Source organism: Homo sapiens, chromosome 19 (genome assembly GCF_000001405.40).
Source record: "Homo sapiens chromosome 19, GRCh38.p14 Primary Assembly".
In the NCBI taxonomy this organism is placed as follows: Eukaryota; Metazoa; Chordata; class Mammalia; order Primates; family Hominidae; genus Homo; species Homo sapiens.
Genome location: NC_000019.10, coordinates 2,932,300 through 2,950,935, shown reverse-complemented (window position 1 = coordinate 2,950,935; position 18,636 = coordinate 2,932,300). Strand labels below are relative to the sequence as shown.

Sequence of the window (18,636 nt, the reverse complement as noted above, 5' to 3'; positions counted from 1 at the left end):
CCCAACCTCGTCCCGGGACCTCGGTCTTGTTTTAGCCACGCCCCGGGGAGGATCCAGTACAAGCCACGCCCACAGCGCGATTCTGTCCCGAGACTTGCCCTCGAGGGGCGGATCTGCCAACAATGCCAATTATCTCCCAGACGGCGGAAACTAGCTTTTCCTGCTCAGCGATTGGACGACGTAGGTCGTCCCGCCTATCTTTGAGGCTCCACCAATCCCAAGCTCATTACTAGCCCACTTTTCAGCTCCCAGCCGCCCCGGAACCGGAAACGGAAGCATCCGTCTGTGACCCGCGGCGGCCGTCTCCCTCAGTGGCCGCAGCGCCTCCCGTGAGAGCGGTTTCTCCTCCTTGTACTGCTGGACCTGGCCCCGTATCTTCGTGGCAGAGGCCAAGCAAGGGGACTCCGATGCCGGGGCGTAGGGGGGTTTGGGTCAAAGGATGGGGGCAGAGTTCAAAGTGCAGGGGGCGGGCTCGTTTAATGGCGAAGTCCTGGCACCGCGCCCCAGGGAGGAGGCTCCGGAGGCCAGTGGAACCCCGCTAGACTTCAGGGGTCTTGGTTGGGGACGCGGGGCGTTTTGACCCCCTAGGCCTGAGGATCCTAGGCCTGAGTAACCCATCGGATTTGGAGGGAAGGGTGGGGTTTAGGTGAAATGTAAATACTGCGTGGTTTCCATTTGGCAAAGAGCAAGCTTGTAAAGGGGTCACCCTCGGGTCTGGGCTGCGAAGTGCAGCCGGGACCTGTTTCCTTGGGAACCACAAGATAAGACCGCTGTAGATTGTTATGTCCGGAAACCGCTTATCAGAGCCCTGCACCTGGGTTGGAAATGGAGACGGATTCTCTGTGTCCAAGAAAATCAGACCCTCCGGCCGGAAAAGGGAAGTTTATTCTTACTGATAAAATGTCAATCACTGTGTATGATTGTAATGGGCAAGGAAGGCATTTAGCGAGCTAGAAGACATTGATGGCTCAGAAAAAGGTGTCCTTGGCAAAAATACTGTTTTCTGTTAATTTTCCAACTGATACCATCTGGGTCTGTCCTCCCAGCCTGATGAATGTGTAGGCAGATACTTTCTCAGTCGGAGTTGATTTTTATTATCTTGATTGCTGCATCCTGTGCACAGAGGTTTTCTGCTCAGCTGGGCTTCATCCTGGGGTCCCAGTCCTGGCCCCAAGCCTTAATCAGCTCTCGGGTGATATTAGGCAAGTTGCCAAGCCCCTAAGTGCCTCAGTTTCCAGGTCTGTAAAATACATAACATTACCTGCATTTGTCAAATAGTGCTGTGTGTGGATTATTATTGGCAGCTCATCATCACCATTATCACCCTCCTGTAAACGTCTTGGACCCCTTAAGTGAAGACAGCAGGGTTACGGCGGATAAAATGATGGACTTCAGAGAAAAGACTCTAAGACCAAATAGAGTCTAAAGCAGTGATTATCAAAGAGGGGAGGAGAAATTTTACGCCCAGGGGACACTGGACAATGTCTGCAGACTTGGTTGTCACAACCGGGGATGGGGTTGGGGCGACTGGCATCCAGTGGATGAGGAGGTCTAGGGTGCTGCTCAACACCCTGCAATGAATAGCACGCCAGTCTTTTGGATTTGAGCCCACCTTAATCTCATTTTAATCGAATTGCCTCTTTAAAGGCCTATCTTCAAATACCTTCTGAGGTACTGTGGGTTAGGCCTTCACCTTACGGATTTGTGGGGACGCAATTCACCCGTTAACGCTATACATACACAAAAATTCATAGACTACACCTCAAAAGAAAAATTCAACATGACCATATAATACTATAAAATAAAAGAAGATGCAATACCTGGTTTGGGGTTGGATCTTCGGAGGACCAGCTGTAAAGACCATTTGGGGTATAATTGAAGGAAATACGATTATGGGCTAGGTATAAAGGAATGATTGTTAACTATCTAAAGTGCGAATATGAAGTGTGGACTTTTAGATAAAAATACAGATTTTTCTCTAAAATAGCATTTGGGAGGTGTTTAAGAGCAGAGTGTTACAGTGTCCTCAATTTACTTTTTTTTTTTTTTTTGAGACGGAGTCTCGAGCTGTCGCCCAGGCTGGAGTGCAGTGGTGTGATCTCGGCTCACTGCAGCCTCCACCTCCCGGGTTCAAGTGATTCTCCTGCCTCACCCTCCCGAGTAGCTGGGACTACAGGTGCCCGCCACCACACCCAGCTAATTTTTGTATTTTTAGTAGAGATGGGGTTTCACCATCTTGGCCAGGCTACTCTTGAACTCCTGACCTCGTGACCCGCCTGCCTCGGCCTCCCAAAGTGCTGGGATTACAGGCGTAAGCCACTGCCCCCAGCCACTCAATTGACTTTGAAATAATTCTTTTTTTTTTTTTTTTTTTGAGACAGAGTTTTGCTCTGTTGCCCAGGATAGAGTACAATGGCGTGATCTCAGCTCAACGCAAGCTCCGCCTCCTGGGTTCACGCCATTCTCCTGCCTCAGCCTTCCGAGTAGCTGGGACTACAGGCACTCGCCACCACGCCCAGCTGATTTTTTGTATTTTTAGTAGAGACGGGGTTTCACCATGTTAGCCAGGATGGTCTTGATCTCCTGACCTTGTGATCCGCCCAACTCGGCCTCCCAAAGTGCTGGGATTACAGACGTGAGCCACCGCACCCTGCGACTTTGAAATAATTCTATGTAGATATTGGCTGTCAGTCGGCTAGAACAATTGATCAGGAAACATCTCTGTCTTCACAAATTACCTGATATGTTGAGTAATGTGAGTATAACACGAATTTCATATTTGTTTATGTTCAGTTTCAACCCTAAGAAACACTAAGTGAACAGAAGAAATTGCACATAACTGAAGAGTCTGGTAGGAAAACAGAAAATGCGCGCACACACCTCAAATACCAAGTCACACTGTTTCCTCTGCTTTAAAACTTAACATTAGATTTCCGACAACCCTCTCTCCACCACTGCATACTAACTCTGGAAATTTAGATTCCCTTGCCCAATTCCACAAGCAACCTTTGGATCTTCTGCAAGGTACGTTGCTACATTTATTATAGTATTTATGTGTTTCTTTTCCTTTTTTTTTTTTTTTTTTTGAGACAGAGTTTTGATCTTGTTGCCCAGGCTGGAGTGCAGTGGCATGATCTCGGCTCACTGCAACCTCCACCTCCTGGGTTCAAGTGATTCTCCTGCCTCAGCCTCCCGATTAGCGGGGGTTCCAGGCATTTGCCACCATGTCCAGCTCATTTTTGTATTTTTAGTAGAGATGGGGTTTCTCCATGTTTGTCAGGGTGGTCTCGGACTTTGGACCTCAGGTGATCTGCCCACCTTGGCATCCCAAAGTGCTGGGATTACAGGCGTGAGCCACCGCGCCCGGCCTATTTATGTGTTTCTTAATGATGTAAGGTGAAAAGCTGTGCTACTGTTTACTTCTTCAGGGACTCTGATAATAGGCATGTTTTTCTTTCCTGTCTTTTGTTCCCACTGCTTCCTCTCTGACAGTTATTCCACTGTTTCCTATCACTTCCAATTTCTTTGTAGTTTCCTTGCCTCTTATCTTTGACACAATGTGAGTATCCTAAGCTTCATTAATATCCATTGATGAAGGCTGAGGCAAGCGGATCACTTGAGGTCAGGAGTTCCAGACCAACTTGGCCAGCATGGTGAAACCCCATCTCTACCAAAAAATACAAAAATCTGCCAGGCATGGTGGTGCAACATAAGACAAGCTTTGAGTAGCAAAAGATTGGAAACAAGTCCACTGTCTATTTAGAGAGACCTTGTTACATCAGCTTACATCATCTTACATCTGTAAGGAGTAAGGAAGTCACCTATTAAGATGAAGAGAGGTGGAGGATTTATTTTTTTCATTGAGCCACAAAAACAATTGTAATGCAATGTGTACACCATGGTACTTTTTAAAAATAATAAAGCGGGGGGAAACAAAACGTGTCGTTCAAATGGCGTTTTTTTGTTTGTTTTTGTTTTGAGATGGAGTCTCGCTCTGTCACCCAGGCGGAGTGCAGTGGTGCGATCTTGGGTCTGCAATCCCCGCCTCCCGGGCTCTAGTGATTCTCCTGCCTCAGCCTCCCAAGTAGTTGGGATTACAGGCATGTGCCACCACGCCCGGCTAATTTTTATATTTTTAGTAGAGACAAGGGTTTTGCCATGTTGGCCAGGCTGGTCTCGAACTCTTGACCTCAGGTGATCCACCTGCCTCAGCCTCCCAAAGTGCTGGGATTATAGGCGTGAGCCACTGCGCCCGGCCCTAGAGAATTTCTTAAAGTAAAAGGCTGTACTGTTCCTATGGTAATTGAATTCTTATTTTAACTCATTTGAGAAAATAATCATAGAAGTTTAAATAAATTTGAACTCGACGTGAAAATTCTGAATACTTTTATTCAGTTGAGCCGCAATTCCTAAAGCCTGGAACGCGACTGCTCATCTCCGAAAAGACTTTCCAGCTTGAGACAGAGTAGAAGTATAAACTCTATATCGCTTGCCATTTTACATACAAACATAATTGTCGTAATTCATGTTTTTACTGTGTCGACCTAAATAACAGGCTGTCTAAAAACGGTGGTAACAGTTCATTGCAGTGGGAATATGCGCGGCATAGCAAACTATGTGCTTATTCAGGGAGGTAAAGGAAGACAAAGGTTGTTTTTGGTTTTCATTTTTTTGAGACGGGGGTCTCTGTTGCCCAGGCTGGAGTACAATGGTGAGATCACAGCTCACTGCAGCCTCAATCCCCACGGGCTCGAGCGATCCTCCTGCTTCAGCCTATCAAGTCGTTGGGACCATAGGCGCACACTCCTTTATTCCCAGCTAATTTTTGTATTTTTTGTATATATGGGGTTTTGCCATGTTGCCCAGACTGGGACAAAGGTTTATAAAGGAAAAAAAAAATTTTAAATGAGGATTACATCATTTTTCAGAAATAATTATCCTTGTCTACAAAGATCAGTAACAAGGGTCACACCAGTCTGAGTGTCCCTGTAAAAGTATTTTTTGTTTAAGCCTGTGGTTTTTGTAGAGTCTTTTTCGTTATTAAGCATATAAATGTGAGACCTCTCTCTTCATGACCTTACGTGGTTCTGTTTGTGGGAGGGCTGCTTTTTTTTTTTTTGAGACTCAGTTTCGCTCTTGTTGCCCAGGCTGGAGTGCAGTGTCCTGATCTTGGCTCACTGCAATCTCCGCCTCCTGGGTTCAAGCGATTCTCCTGCCTCAGCCTCCGGAGTAGCTGGGATTACAGGCGCCCGCCACCGTGCCCAGCTAATTTTTGTATTTTTAGGAGAGAAGTGGTTTTCGCCATTTTGGTCAGGCTGGACTTGAACTCCTGACCTCTGATGATCCGCCGGTCTCCGCCTCTCACGGTGCTGGGATTACCGGCGTGAACCACCGCGCCCGGCCGAGAGTTTTAAGAACACAGGGAGCGCCTGGTGGGGTCCGGCCTCCTGGGGCCTCGTCGTCTGGTCTCCAGATCTCCAGGTCTCTGGACCCCAGGCGTCCGCGCCCACGCGGGACAGCACGGTGACGTCACGCACGCGGGTCCCGCCCCCACGCAGGACTCCGCCCCATGGGACTCCGTGCCCTTCCTCTCCTCCCCGCACGAGGGGCCGCTCCGAGGGGAAACTGAGTCTGGAGTTGCCGTGCAGTCAGGGAGGAGGACGCCGCGCCCTCCCTGGACTGGAGTGAGTTCTCCCAGATCCGCGGCTGCCCGGCTAGAGGGTCAGCCACGCGTGTTCTCGACGAGCCCGTCACTGAGGAGAGAATTATCCAATCAGGACAGGCAGGGGCGGGGCCTAGGGAACTGTCCAATCAGAGACGTTAATCCGAAGCGGAGCCCTGCCCAATCAAGGGCGCTAGGGGGACGGACTGGAGAATTCTCCAATCAGGGGTGCGGAGTCGACAGCACTGTCCAATCAGAGTCTCCACTTCCCGAGATCTGTCCAATCAGACCCCGAGGACGGTAAGCCGAGTTCCCCTCTGCCTTGCGCGCTTCCCCGCCTACCCCGAGCGGCTCAGGTGTCCTGTCGTGCTCACCTGCGCCGGTCGCTGGACCGCGGGGCGCTAACCCTGGAGAGCCCAGGAGCGGGCGGGACATGGTGAGTGCCGGGCGGGAGCCGAGCCCGGGCCCAGGGCGAGGTGGGGCGGCAGGAACCGGCTTCCGCCCGAGTTCGCAGCCGGAGAAAGCTGAGGGACGCGCGGGGCGGCGCACGACGAGCGCCTGGGCCCCGGGGACGTGGTCACAGCGGCCGAGGGGTAGGGCTGGGGGCAGTCTGGGGTGACAGCAAAAGCGGTCAGGGGCTCGAGGGGTAGTTTCTGGGGACAGTACAGGTCAGGAGTTTGGGGAGAGCTTGTGGGGACAGCAGAGGTGGTCAGGGGCTTGAGGCAATTTAAGTGGACAGTAGAGGTTTAAGGGGCACAGGGGCAGTTTGCGGGAACAGACACGGTCAGGGGCTCGGCGGCAGTTTGGGGGTTCAGTGGAAGGGAGTCAGGCTCAAGGGCAGATTAGGGGGCCAATAGCAGCGGTCAGGAACTCGGGGACAGTTTGAGGGGGCCGTAGAGGCGGTCATGGGTTTGAAGGGGCAGTTTTGGGGGACAGGTGATCAGGGGCTCGAAGGCAGTTTAGGGGGACAGTAGCTGCAGTCGGGAGTTTGGGGGCAGCTCGAGGGGACAGCAGAAGCAGTCAGGGGCTCAGGGGCACTTTAAGGGGGGCAGTAGAGGCGATCAGGGGCTTGAGGGAAGTTTGGGGGGACAGTAAAGGGAGTCGGGCTCGAGGGATGTGTTGGGGGACAGTAGAGGCAGTCAGGGGATCGGGGAGAGTGGGAGGAGAGGGCAGGAGCCGTCAGGGGCTTGGTGGTCAGTTTGGGAAGGTCTGCCAAGGAGGAGGTGGTGCCCTGTCCTGGAGCCTGTCAAATAATAAAATCCTGGGCCGGGCGCGGTGGCTCACGCCTGTAATCCCAGCACTTTGGGAGGCCGAGGCGGGCGGATCACCTGAGGTCAGGAGTTCCAGACCAGCCTGGACAACATGGCGAAATCCCGTCTCTACTAAAAATACAAAAATTAGCCCGGCGTGGTGGCGGGCGCCTGCAATCCCAGCTACCAGGGAGGCTGAGACAGGAGAATGGCGTGAACCTGGGAGGTGGAGCTTGCAGTGAGCCGACATGGCGCCGCTGCACTCCAGCCTGGCGACAGAGAAAGACTCCGTCTCAAAAACAAAAACCAAAAAAAAAAAAAAAAAAAAAAATCCTGGCTAGAGAAGGAGAGAGAAAAATAGGGATAAGCCCCAGCCTCCGAAACCTGCCAGGTCTCAAAATCAACCAGGAAAAGGCTTTACTTTCATACACAAGAAAAGGTTTGGAGGAACGTTTTAGGGGACAAGCAGAAAGGAGGTTGACAGTAAATGTACCTCCTCGTGGTCAGCTAGCTCAGGGGAGGTGACAGGGGACTCCACACTTACTGCTTGCTCAGACTCGGGGGGGCCAAAGTTCAGGGGCCTGCGGAGAGGACAGAAGGCTGAGTAAAGTTTGGGGAAGAAACGGGAGGCTGCGAACATGTGGTCAAGCTTGTGTAAACCCAAACGTAGTAAGGAAACTTTTATGAAAAAGGATTATTGCGAGGTATTGGGGGAGGGGGAGAAGGGGCTGTTGCAATAGGGAGAAGGGTTAGTTGGATTAGAGGCAGGAGAGTAATGCCAGAGGCTTGAGGTTCTATTGCAGTGGGGTGGGGGTATAAGCAACAGGGGCATGGGGACAGTTGATGATTGAGCTGCGGGACTAATGCTGTAGCCACAGGGAGACAGCTGCAGGGGGAGAGCTCTGTGACCGTCAAGTATGCAGGCATCTGAAGAGTTGGCTAGGCCTGGCGCGGTGGCTCATGCCTGTACTCCCAGCACTTTGGGAGGCTGAGGCAGGTGGATCACCTGAGGTCAGGAGTTCAAGACCAGCCTGGCCAACATGGTGAAATCCCATCTCTACTAAAAAATACAAAAATTAGCCGGGCGTGGTAGTGTGTGCCTGTAATCCCAGCTACTTGGAAGGCTGAGGCAGGGAGAATTGCTTGAACTCGGGAGGCAGAGGTTGCAGTGAGCCATGATCACACCACTGCACTCCAGCCTGGGCACACCTAACCTAGTGAATCATTTCTGATGACAAAGAATGGGATTTCGGAGGGTCTGAATCTGGCCTTGTCATCTGCGTGAATCTTATCTAAGTCGTATGGGAAGGGAGGGTCCTGGCTGTCCCAATTCCAGAGCACAGCAGGACGGGGTTTCACCTTTGCTGGTTTCCAGGAGCACAGAGCTGAAGTCAGTTCAACATTGTCACCTGACAGCTGCGAACAGCCTCGTCTGTGTCCAGCTCAGCATTGGTATTGTTCCTATTTCAGCCCCAGGTTTTAGTAAATGTAAAATAATGAGGCCGGGCATGGGGATGCGCACCTGTGGTCCCAGCCACTTGAGAGGCTGAGGGGGGAGAATCGCTTGAGCCCACGAGTTTGAGGCTGTACCACTCCACTCCAGCCTGGGCAACAGAGCTAGACCCTGTCTGGAAAAAAAAAAAAAAAAAAAAAGAGCCGGGCGCGGTGGCTCACACCTGTAATCCTAGCACTTTGAGTGGCTGAGGTGGGCGGATCACAAGGTCAGGAATTCAAGACCACCCTGATTGACATGGGGAAACCCCGTCTCTACTAAAAATATCAAAATTAGCCAGGTGTGATGGCAAGTGCCTGCAATCCCAGCTACTTGGGAGTCTGAGGCAGGAGAATCGCTTGAACCGGGGAGGCGGAGGTTGCAGCGAGCTGAGATTGTTTCACTGCACTCCAGCCTGGGAGACGGAGCAAGACCCTGTCTCAAAAAAAAAAAAAAGAATAAATGCTTTTTGCCTTTTTTTTCTTGTCCTTAGTGAGGGCAGTCATTGTCTTGGATGTGTTCTTTGCCTTCTGCCACTGCCTGGTGTTATACCATGGCTTAGCCCGAGAAGGCTGCTGTGGAAAACTCTCAAACTCGGAAGACGTTGCATCTTCCATTAGGATGAGGGGAAAGGCGCACACACAGCCCCATGCCATATTGTGAGGTGGGCGAAGGTGTGGATTGAAAACATTCATGAAACTAGCACTGACTTAGGCAGGGTGCAGAGTTTGTGACAGTGGGGGACCCTGCTCCGTCTCCTGTTAGTATCTGCGCATCAGACAGATGCGCATTCTGTAATATACGACCCACAGTACAGAGAAGCGGCAATTCCGATTAGGGGACTGACGAACAATTTATCATGAGGATAATCATTAACTGATACCTGTTTTCTGCATGAGACCCTAATCATTAACTGATACCTGTTTTCTGCATGGGACCCTTTGTGGGACAGAAAAACTTCTAGATCTTCTAGAATCCACCACTCACCCCTTTGTCCTTTAACACGGGCTGAAAGTGGTGATTTGGCTGTGTTCTTACTTATTTTTATTTTTTTTTTGAGACAGTCTCACTCTGTCACCCAGGCTAGAGTGCAGTGGCTTGATCTCAGCTCACTGCAACCTCTGCCTCTGGGTTTAAGTGATTTTCCTGCCTCAGCCTCCCAAGTAGCTGGGATTACAGGCATGCACCACCACACCTGGCTAATTTTTGTATTTTTAGTAGCGGTGCGGTTTCACCATGTTGGCCAGGCTGCTCATGAACTCCTGACCTCAAGTGATCCTCCCGCCTTGGCCTCCCAAAGTGCTGAGATTACAGGTGTGAGCCACCTCACCCAGCCTTTTTTTTTTTTTTTTTTTTTGAGGTAGGGCGTCTCTCTGTCACCCACGCTGGAGTGCAGTGGTGACATCGTGGCTCACTACAGCCTCAACCTCCTGGGCTCAAATGATCCTCCCACCTCAGCCTCCTGAGTAGCTGGGACTCCAGGTGTGCCCCACCATGCCTGGCTAATTTTTGTATTTTTTGTAGAGACAGGGTTTCACCATATTGCTCAGGCTGGTCCCAAGCTTCTGGGCTCAAACAGTCCTCCCACCTCAGTCTCCCAAAGTGCTGGGAGTATAGGCCTGAGCCACCAAGCCCAGCTGCTGATAGCATTTTATTATAAAATTGAACACATGTAGAACTTTTGTAAGACAATTACAGAGTCAGTGGAAACGTCCTCAAGTGAACAGTGTGTAACGACAGCCAGGCCATGTCTTCGAAGAAGCCTTGGCATCCAATTTGAAATGATGTGTAATGGTAGGCTTCTCCCTCCAGATCAGGCCAGTATTCTACATTCTTTTTTTTTTTTTTTTTTTCTTTTTTGTGATGGAGACTCACTCTGTTGCTAGACTGGAGTGCAATGGCGCCATCTCGGCTCACTGCAACCTCTGCCTCCTGGGTTCAAGTGATTCTCCTGCCTCAGCCTCCTGAGTAGCTGAGACTACAGGCGTGTGCCACCACGCCCAGCTAATTTTTGTATTTTTAGTAGAGATGGGGTTTCACCATGTTGGCCAGGATGGTCTTGATCTCTTAACCTTGTGATCCGCCCACCTTAGCCTCCCAAAATGCTAGGATTATAGGCGTGAGCCACCACGCCCGGCCTATCCTAAATTCTTTTAGCCTTTTTTTTTTTGGTAGAGACAGGGTTTCACTGTGTTGTCCAGGGTGATCTCGAACTCCTGAACTCAAGTGATCTGCCTGTCTTGGCCTCCCAAAGTGTTGGAACTACAGGCGTGAACCACCACACCTGGCCAATATCCTAAATTATAAGGAAATAATCTCCTTGCTTTTCTTCATAGTTGTATTTTTAAAATTTAATTTAATTTAATTTTTTTTTTTAAGAGACAGGGTCTTTGCTCTGTCACCCAGGCTCGTCTTGAACTCCTGGCCTCAAGCGATCTTCTCACCTTGGCCTCCCAAAGTGCTGATATTATAGCTGAATAAGAAATAATAAAATTTGAGCAAGTCATGTCAATTTCCATGTTACCTGAATGATTGATTTATTTTATTTTTTTGAGATTGGGTCTCACTCTGTGGCCCAGACAGGAGTGCAGTGGCACAGTCATAGTTCACTGCAGCCTTGAACCCCCGAGCTCAAGCGATTGTCCCTCCTCACCCTCCTAAGTAGCCGGGACTACAGGTGTGTACCACCATGGCTGGTTAATTTATTGTATTTTATTTTTTTTGTAGAGACGGGATCTCACTATGCAGCCCAGGCTGGTCGCCAACTCCTGGCCCTAAGCAATCCTCGCACCTGAGCCTCTCAAAGTACTGGGATTGCAGGCATGAGCCACCAGCCTTAGCTTAATGATGTTTTCAGATTTTTCAGTGTTTCCCCACCCTCATACCTGCCGTTTCTCAGTAATTCTTTGTAAGTCTCTGGCAGAGGCCGTCATTGCGCTTTGCTCCCTGTTGGGAAGGTACTCACGGCATTGAGTGTACTGCACTTTTTCATACTGTTGGTCACCTCTCACAAGGACATAAGCTCTGTGTGGCTCAGTTCCCCAGGCTGTCAGCCTCACCCCTCTTCCTGCGCACATGGGGGAGGCGGTGCCTTTGCTGAAGTGGGATGTGTGGAATGTTTTAGGACTGCGTGATCTTTGAGGAAGTGGCTGTGAACTTCACCCCAGAAGAGTGGGCATTGCTGGATCATGCTCAGAGGAGCCTCTACAGAGATGTGATGCTGGAGACCTGCAGGAACCTTGCCTCCTTGGGTAAGGGTGGTGTCATTCCCTCACTGCCTCCTTGGGTAAGGGTGGCGTCATTCCCTCACTGCCTCCTTGGGTAAGGGTGGCGTCATTCCCTCACTGCCTCCTTGGGTAAGGGTGGCGTCATTCCCTCACTGCCTCCTTGGGTAAGGGTGGCGTCATTCCCTCACTGCCTCCTTGGGTAAGGGTGGCGTCATTCCCTCACTGCCTCCTTGGGTAAGGATGGCGTCATTCCCTCACTGCCTCCTTGGGTAAGGGTGGCATCATTCCCTCACTGCGTCCTGGAGAGCAAAGAGACCTTGGTTTTCTTTTTTTTTTTTTTTATTTTTTTGAGACGGAGTCTTGCTCTCTCGCCCAAGCTGGAGTGCAGTGGCACGATCTCGGCTCACTGCAAGCTCCGCCTCCCGGGTTCATGCCATTCTCCTGCCTCAGCCTCCTGAATAGCTGGGACTACAGGTGCCCACCACCACGCCTGGCTAATTTTTTGTAGCTTTAGTAGAGATGGGGTTTCACCGTGTTAGCCAGGATGGTCTCGATCTCCTGACCTCGTGATCCGCCCGCCTTGGCCTCCCAAAGTGCTGGGATTACAGGCGTGAGCCACCGCGCCCGGCCTAAGATACCTTGTTTTTCTTTTTATTTGAGCTCAAAAATTGAAATATGTTGGAAAAGAGATAGACATGATCCCAACACCCATGGAACATGGGAGTCAAAATGCTTCTCCATGAAAACAAAGTTTTGTGTATGATTGATATTTAGGTTTTCTTGATCACCAGTCCTTGGCTGCCCACATTTTATAAGTCTGAGTAGAGTATTCTGTGTCACGTTGGGGCAACAAAAGCAGCTTTGTGGTTCACCACACAGAGTAACTGTACTTTGAAAATCAAAGTACACTGTGATAAAGTAAATCCAAGTTACACTGTGAGTAATCCACGTTTGACATGGTAATTTTGCTGCAATTAAAACTCACACTCGGACATCATCGGTGGTCTGGGAAGTCAAAGTGTTGGCCTGTCTCAGGGGAACATTTGTTGCCCTTCACAATCCTTCCTCATCATGTGATTCTCCAGGAATGGGTGGTGCTCACACCTGAGGGCAGCCGGGCATAGTGGAGGAAGGACTCCTGTAAGGGCCCTGTGCCTGTGAGCACCAGGAGAGCAGCAGCCCTCGGGAGGAGTGGGTTCTGGATAAGAAGGTTCCGTTTGGCATCGTGGGTTAGAAGTACAAACCCCTGGCCGCACGCAGTGGCTCACGCCTGTAATCCCAGCACTTTGGAAGGCCTAGGTGGGTGGTTCACCTAAGGTCAGGAGTTCAAGACCAGCCTGGCCAACGTGGTGAAACCCCATGTGTACTAAAAATATAAAAAGTAGTCGGGCGTGGTGGCAGGTGCCTGTAATCCCAGCTACTCGGGAGGCTGAGGCAGGAGAATTGCTTGAACCCAGGACACGGAGGTTGCAGTGAGCCAACAAAGTGCCACTGCACTCCAGTCTTGGTGACAGTGTGAGACTCTGTCTCAAAAAACAAAACAAAACAAAAAAAAGAAACACAAACCCTTCTCTGAGGAGGAGGAGGTGTGTCCTCTCTCAGCTGCCCTGTGTGGCTTCTCCTGCACCCCCCTGCACTGTCCTCCTTCGCAGGGGAAAGCCTCTGGATTTCCTCGTATACGAGGAGCATTTGTGCATGTGCAAACTTTGCTTTTCTGATAATATTTTACTAAACATCAGTCTCCATCTGTTTGGAACTATTCTGTTTCTTAGTAAATGGGTTGCCACGTTTATCTCTTCTTTTTTTTTTTTTGAGACACAGTTTCACTCTTACTGCCCATTGCCCAGGCTGGAGTGCAATGGTGCGATCTTGGCTCAATGCAACCCCCACCTCCCAGGTACAAGTGATTCTTCTGCCTCAGCCTCCCGAGTAGCTGGGATTACAGGCACGTGCCACTATGCCCGGCTGATTTTTTGTATTTTTAGTGGAGATGGGGTTTAACCATGTTGGTCAGGCTGGTTTCGAACTCCTGACCTCAGGTGATCCACCCGCTTCGGCCTCCCAAAGTGCAGGGATTACAGGCGTGAGCCACCGCATCCAGCACTATTCTTTTTTTGAGACAGGGTCTCACTCTGTCACACAGGCTGCAGTGCCGTGGTGCAATCATGGCCCACTGCAGCTTTGACCTCCTGGGCTCAAGTGATCCTCCCTCCTTGGCCTCCCAAGGAGCTGGGATTATAGGCACACAACACCACGCCTGGCTAATTTAAATTTTTTATTGTTGTTTAGAGATGAGGTCTCCTTATTTTCCTATGTTGCCCAGGCTTGTCTTGAACTCCTGGGCTCAAGCAATTCTTCTACCTTGGCCCCGCAGTGCTTTGAGATTACAGGCATGAGCCACTGCACCCGGCTCATCTGCTTTTTATTATTGCCAAATTCTCAAGTAGATGAGGTCCTCAGAGTCTCACTTTGATAGCATGTCTATTCTTCCTTATAAACGGTACATTTTTGGATTACTATATGAAAAGAAATCCGTATGTGGTCTATTTCCTTTATCCCAACATATTTCTCCTAAGAAATTGTGTAATTGATTGTTGCAGATTGTTACATTTATGTTAGAACCAGTGGATCAAGTTCTCAGAGGGACGTTTTTGGGAATGGAATATCCAATGATGAAGAGATTGTAAAGTTCACAGGAAGTGATTCCTGGTCTATTTTTGGAGAAAATTGGAGATTTGATAACACTGGAGATCAGCACCAAATCCCACAGAGGCATCTGAGGTGAGTGGCGCTCAACCGGAGGGATGGGCCTCTCCGCAGAGCATCAAACTAACTTGCAATTCAAAGAAAAGTATCGGCTGGGCACAGGGGCTCGCGCCTGTAATCCCAGCACTTTGGGAGGCCGAGGCGGGTGGATCACCTGAGGTTAGTAGTTCGAAACCAGCTTGGCCAACACGGAGAAACCCCATCTCTACTAAAAATACAAAACATTAGCTGGGCGTGGTGGCTCATGCCTGTAATCCCATCTACTCAGGAGGCTGAGGAAGGAGAATCGCTTGAACCCAGGAGGCGGAGGTTGCAGTGAGCTGAGATCGCACCATTGCACTCCAGCCTGGGCAACAAGAGCAAAGCTCCATCTCAAAAAAAAAGTATAAACCAACTACACAATTTCAGACCCACAGAGACATTTTTTTTCTTTTTCTTTATTTTCTCTTTTTAAAAATATATTTTAATAATTACTTTTATTTATTTTATTTTATTTTTATTTTATTTATTTATTTATTTTTGAGATGGGGGTCTCACTCTGTCAACCAGGCTGAAGTGCAGTGGCACGGATCTTGGCTCACTGCAACCTTTGCCTCCTGGGCTCAAGCAATCCTCCCACCTCATCCTCCCAAGTAGCTGGGACTATAGGCACACACCACTGCACCTGGCTAATTTTTGTGTTTTTGTAGAGACGGAGTTTCACTGTGTTGCCCAGGCTGGTATCAAACTCCTGGACTCAAGCAGTCCACCCATCTCAACCTCCCAAAGTGCTGGGATTACAAGTGTGATTCACCGTCCCTGGCTGAGACTTTTCCTAAGAGAGTATTTTTATAAATGTGATGTCAATGTCACGTGTCTGAAACAGTTGGAAACAATATCAGGAAACTTCATCTATAAGAAACACCGTGGGCTGGGCGCAGTGGCTCACGCCTGTAATCCCAGCACTTTGGGAGGCTGAGGCAGGTGGATCACCTGAGGTCGGGAGTTCGAGACCAGCCTGACCAACATGGAGAAACCCCATCTCTACTGAAAAAAAAAAAAATACGAAAAAGAATTAGCCAGGTGTAGTGGTGCACGCCTGTAATCCCAGCCACTTGGGAGGCTGAGGCAGGAGTATCGCTTGAACCTGGGAGGTGGAGGTTGCGGTGAGCTGAGATCATGCCATTGCACTCCAGCCTGGGCAACAAGAGTGAAACTCCATCTCAAAAAAAAAAAAAAAAAGGCTGGGTGTGGTGGCTCACACCTGTAATCCCAGCACTTTGGGAGGCCGAGGCAGGCGGATCACGAGGTCAGGAGATCAAGACCATCCTGGCTAACACGGTGAAACCTCATCTCTACTAAAATACAAAAAAATTAGCCAGGCGTGGTGGCAGGCGCCTGTAATCCCAGCCACTTGGGAGGCTGAGGCAGGAGAATGGCATGAACCTGGGAGGTGGAGCTTGCAGTGAGCCGAGATGGCGCCACTGCACTCCAGCCTGGGTGACAGAGCGAGACTCCATCTCAAAAAAAGAAGAAAAGAAACACCGTGAAATTTATGGCTGCAGTTGAGCCTTCAGCTAGAGCATTAAGCTTGTTCTCCATAGAAACCAGGCAGACAGTGCTGAAAATAGAACCATTCAGTGAAATTGGCAAATAATGTAATCAAAATAATCACTAAAAACCATTAATAAATTAATCACTTATAGTCATTCATGACTAGTAGCTTGCTTCCCATTTTGAACAGAAGTCAGCTGGGGAGACTCTGTGAAAGTAATGAAGGTCATCAATGCGGAGAGACCTTGAGCCAGACTGCGAACCTTCTTGTGCACAAGAGTTACCCTACCGAAGCTAAACCCTCTGAGTGCACTAAGTGTGGCAAAGCCTTCGAGAATCGGCAGAGATCTCACACTGGACAGAGACCGTGTAAGGAATGTGGGCAAGCCTGCAGCTGCCTCTCCTGCCAAAGCCCTCCTATGAAAACGCAGACTGTAGAGAAACCCTGTAATTGCCAGGACTCAAGGACAGCATCTGTGACATACGTGAAAAGTCTCAGCAGTAAAAAGTCTTATGAATGTCAGAAATGTGGAAAAGCTTTCATTTGTCCCTCATCTTTCAGGGGACATGTGAATAGTCATCATGGGCAGAAAACCCATGCATGTAAAGTATGTGGGAAGACCTTTATGTATTACTCCTACCTTACACGGCACGTAAGAACTCACACAGGAGAGAAACCCTATGAGTGTAAGGAGTGTGGGAAAGCCTTCAGCTGTCCCTCATACTTTCGAGAACATGTCAGAACACACACTGGAGAGAAACCGTATGAATGTAAGCATTGTGGAAAATCATTCAGCTGTTACTCCTCCTTTAGAGATCACGTGAGGACGCACACTGGAGAGAAACCCTGTCAGTGTAAACATTGCGGAAAAGCGTTCACTTGTTACTCGTCTCTTCGAGAACATGGGAGAACGCACAGTGGAGAGAAACCCTATGAATGTAAGGAATGCGGCAAAGCCTTCAGGTACCCCTCCTCTCTGCGAGCACACATGAGAATGCACACCGGAGAGAAGCCCTATGTGTGCAAGCAGTGTGGGAAGGCCTTCGGATGTCCCACTTACTTTAGAAGACATGTGAAAACACACAGCGGGGTGAAGCCCTATCAATGTAAAGAGTGTGGGAAAGCCTACAGTTTTTCCTCCTCCCTTCGAATCCACGTGAGGACGCATACTGGAGAGAAGCCCTTTGAGTGTAAGCATTGTGGGAAAGCCTTCAGCTGTCACTCCTCCCTTCGAGAGCATGTGCGAACCCACAGCGGAGAGAAACCGTACGAATGTAATCAATGTGGGAAAGCCTTCAGCCACGCTCAGTACTTTCAAAAGCATGTGAGATCACACAGTGGGGTCAAACCCTACGAATGTACTGAATGTGGGAAAGCCTACAGTTGTTCCTCGTCCCTTCGTGTGCACGTGAGAACGCACACTGGAGAGAGACCGTATGAATGCAAGCAGTGTGGGAAAACCTTCAGGTATCTCGCATCGCTTCAAGCACATGTGAGAACACATGCTGGAGCGTGAATCTACGAATACAGTGGACCTGGGAGAGTGTTCAACCGTAAAACCTTGTTGTAAATGTGAGAAACGTTATTTATGTAGAGCATGTAGGAAAACCTGGTATAGCACTTATTTTGTACCTAAAAATTCAGAGTAGGAGAGAAATCTCTTAATTATGATTAATATGGTATTGCCTTTACATGCCTCAGCCTTAATAGTGATTCCTTTTGTATTAATTTCTAGTGTATGTTTGTGATATAAACATTTAATAAATATCCTGTTTTGTACGCTTTCAGCTATGTATATTTTGTAATTTAGGACTTTAAATAATTGTAGTTATATAAAATCTGTCTCATTTCCATTGAAATGTCTTTTGGACCCAGGGATGCACAAGTTGGTGTGAGTTTAGATGAAACGTTTTTGATTCCTACTTTCTTGTTTTTTTTTTTTTTTTTTTTTTTGAGACAGAGTCTTGCTCTGCTGCCCAGGCTGGAGTGCAGTGGTGCCATCTCGGCTCACTGCAAGCTCCGCCTCCCAGGTTCATGCCATTCTCCTGCCTCAGCCTCCCGAATAGCCCGGCTAATTTTTTCTATTTTTCAGTAGAGACGGGGTTTCACCGTGTTAGCCAGGATGGTCTTGATCTCCTGACCTCGTGATCCGCCCGCCTCGGCCTCCCAAAGTGCTGGGATTATAGGCGTGAGCCACAGCGCCTGGCCATTTTTTTTTTTTGAGATGGAGTCTTGCTGTGTTGCCCAGGCTGGAGTGCAGAGGCACGATCTTGGCTCACAGCAACCTCCACCTCCCTGGTTCAAGCAATTCTCCTGCCTCAGCCTCCCAAGTAGCTGGGACTACAAGCACGTGCCATCATGTCCAGCTAATTTTTGTATTTTTAGTAGATATGGGGGTTTTGCCATGTTGACCAGGCTGGTCTCGAACTCCTGACATCAGGGGATCTCCCCGCCTTAGGCTCCCAAAGTGCTGGGATTACAAGTGTGAGCCACCATGCCTGGCCTCATTCCCACTTGCCATTATGTTTCCAGTGTGTGATCATGAGACTGTTATTTCTTTTCCAGTCCACTATTGCAGGTACTGGAATTTGCTGTCACTCTGCCTTTCCCTTCAGTCATTTTTTTTTTAATTAAAAGTTTTATTTTATAGAGGTAGTGTCTTGCTATGTTGCCCAAGCTAGGCTCGAACTCCTGGGCTCAAGCAG

At 49.3% G+C, this 18,636-nt stretch overlaps 1 protein-coding gene across 2 annotated transcripts, besides 4 other annotated features; it reads left to right on the top strand.

The window, feature by feature from the left end:
* Nucleotides 292-361: an enhancer, noted in NCBI's record as "active region_13723". NCBI's record gives its function as "activates an Ori minimal core promoter by ATAC-STARR-seq in GM12878 lymphoblastoid cells {active_cell/tissue: GM12878}" and the evidence as "EXISTENCE:reporter gene assay evidence [ECO:0000049][PMID:35858748]".
* Nucleotides 5,570-5,729: an enhancer, noted in NCBI's record as "active region_13722". NCBI's record gives its function as "activates an Ori minimal core promoter by ATAC-STARR-seq in GM12878 lymphoblastoid cells {active_cell/tissue: GM12878}" and the evidence as "EXISTENCE:reporter gene assay evidence [ECO:0000049][PMID:35858748]".
* Nucleotides 5,800-6,049: a silencer, noted in NCBI's record as "silent region_9818". NCBI's record gives its function as "represses an Ori minimal core promoter by ATAC-STARR-seq in GM12878 lymphoblastoid cells {active_cell/tissue: GM12878}" and the evidence as "EXISTENCE:reporter gene assay evidence [ECO:0000049][PMID:35858748]".
* ZNF77 (zinc finger protein 77) lies at nt 5,965-17,718 on the top strand. 2 transcript variants are annotated; one of them, NM_021217.3, is made up of 4 exons: nt 5,965-6,098; nt 11,529-11,655; nt 14,232-14,412; nt 16,121-17,718. In NM_021217.3, exons 1-4 carry the CDS (start codon nt 6,096-6,098, stop codon nt 17,445-17,447), a joined length of 1,638 nt encoding a protein of 545 aa, NP_067040.1. In that variant the 5' UTR covers nt 5,965-6,095; the 3' UTR covers nt 17,448-17,718. The 2 variants fall into 2 exon arrangements, with proteins under 2 accessions (NP_067040.1, NP_001413479.1); NM_001426550.1 differs by lacking the exon at nt 11,529-11,655.
* Nucleotides 6,190-6,269: a silencer, noted in NCBI's record as "silent region_9817". NCBI's record gives its function as "represses an Ori minimal core promoter by ATAC-STARR-seq in GM12878 lymphoblastoid cells {active_cell/tissue: GM12878}" and the evidence as "EXISTENCE:reporter gene assay evidence [ECO:0000049][PMID:35858748]".
* Nucleotides 17,719-18,636: the final 918 nt, after the last annotated feature.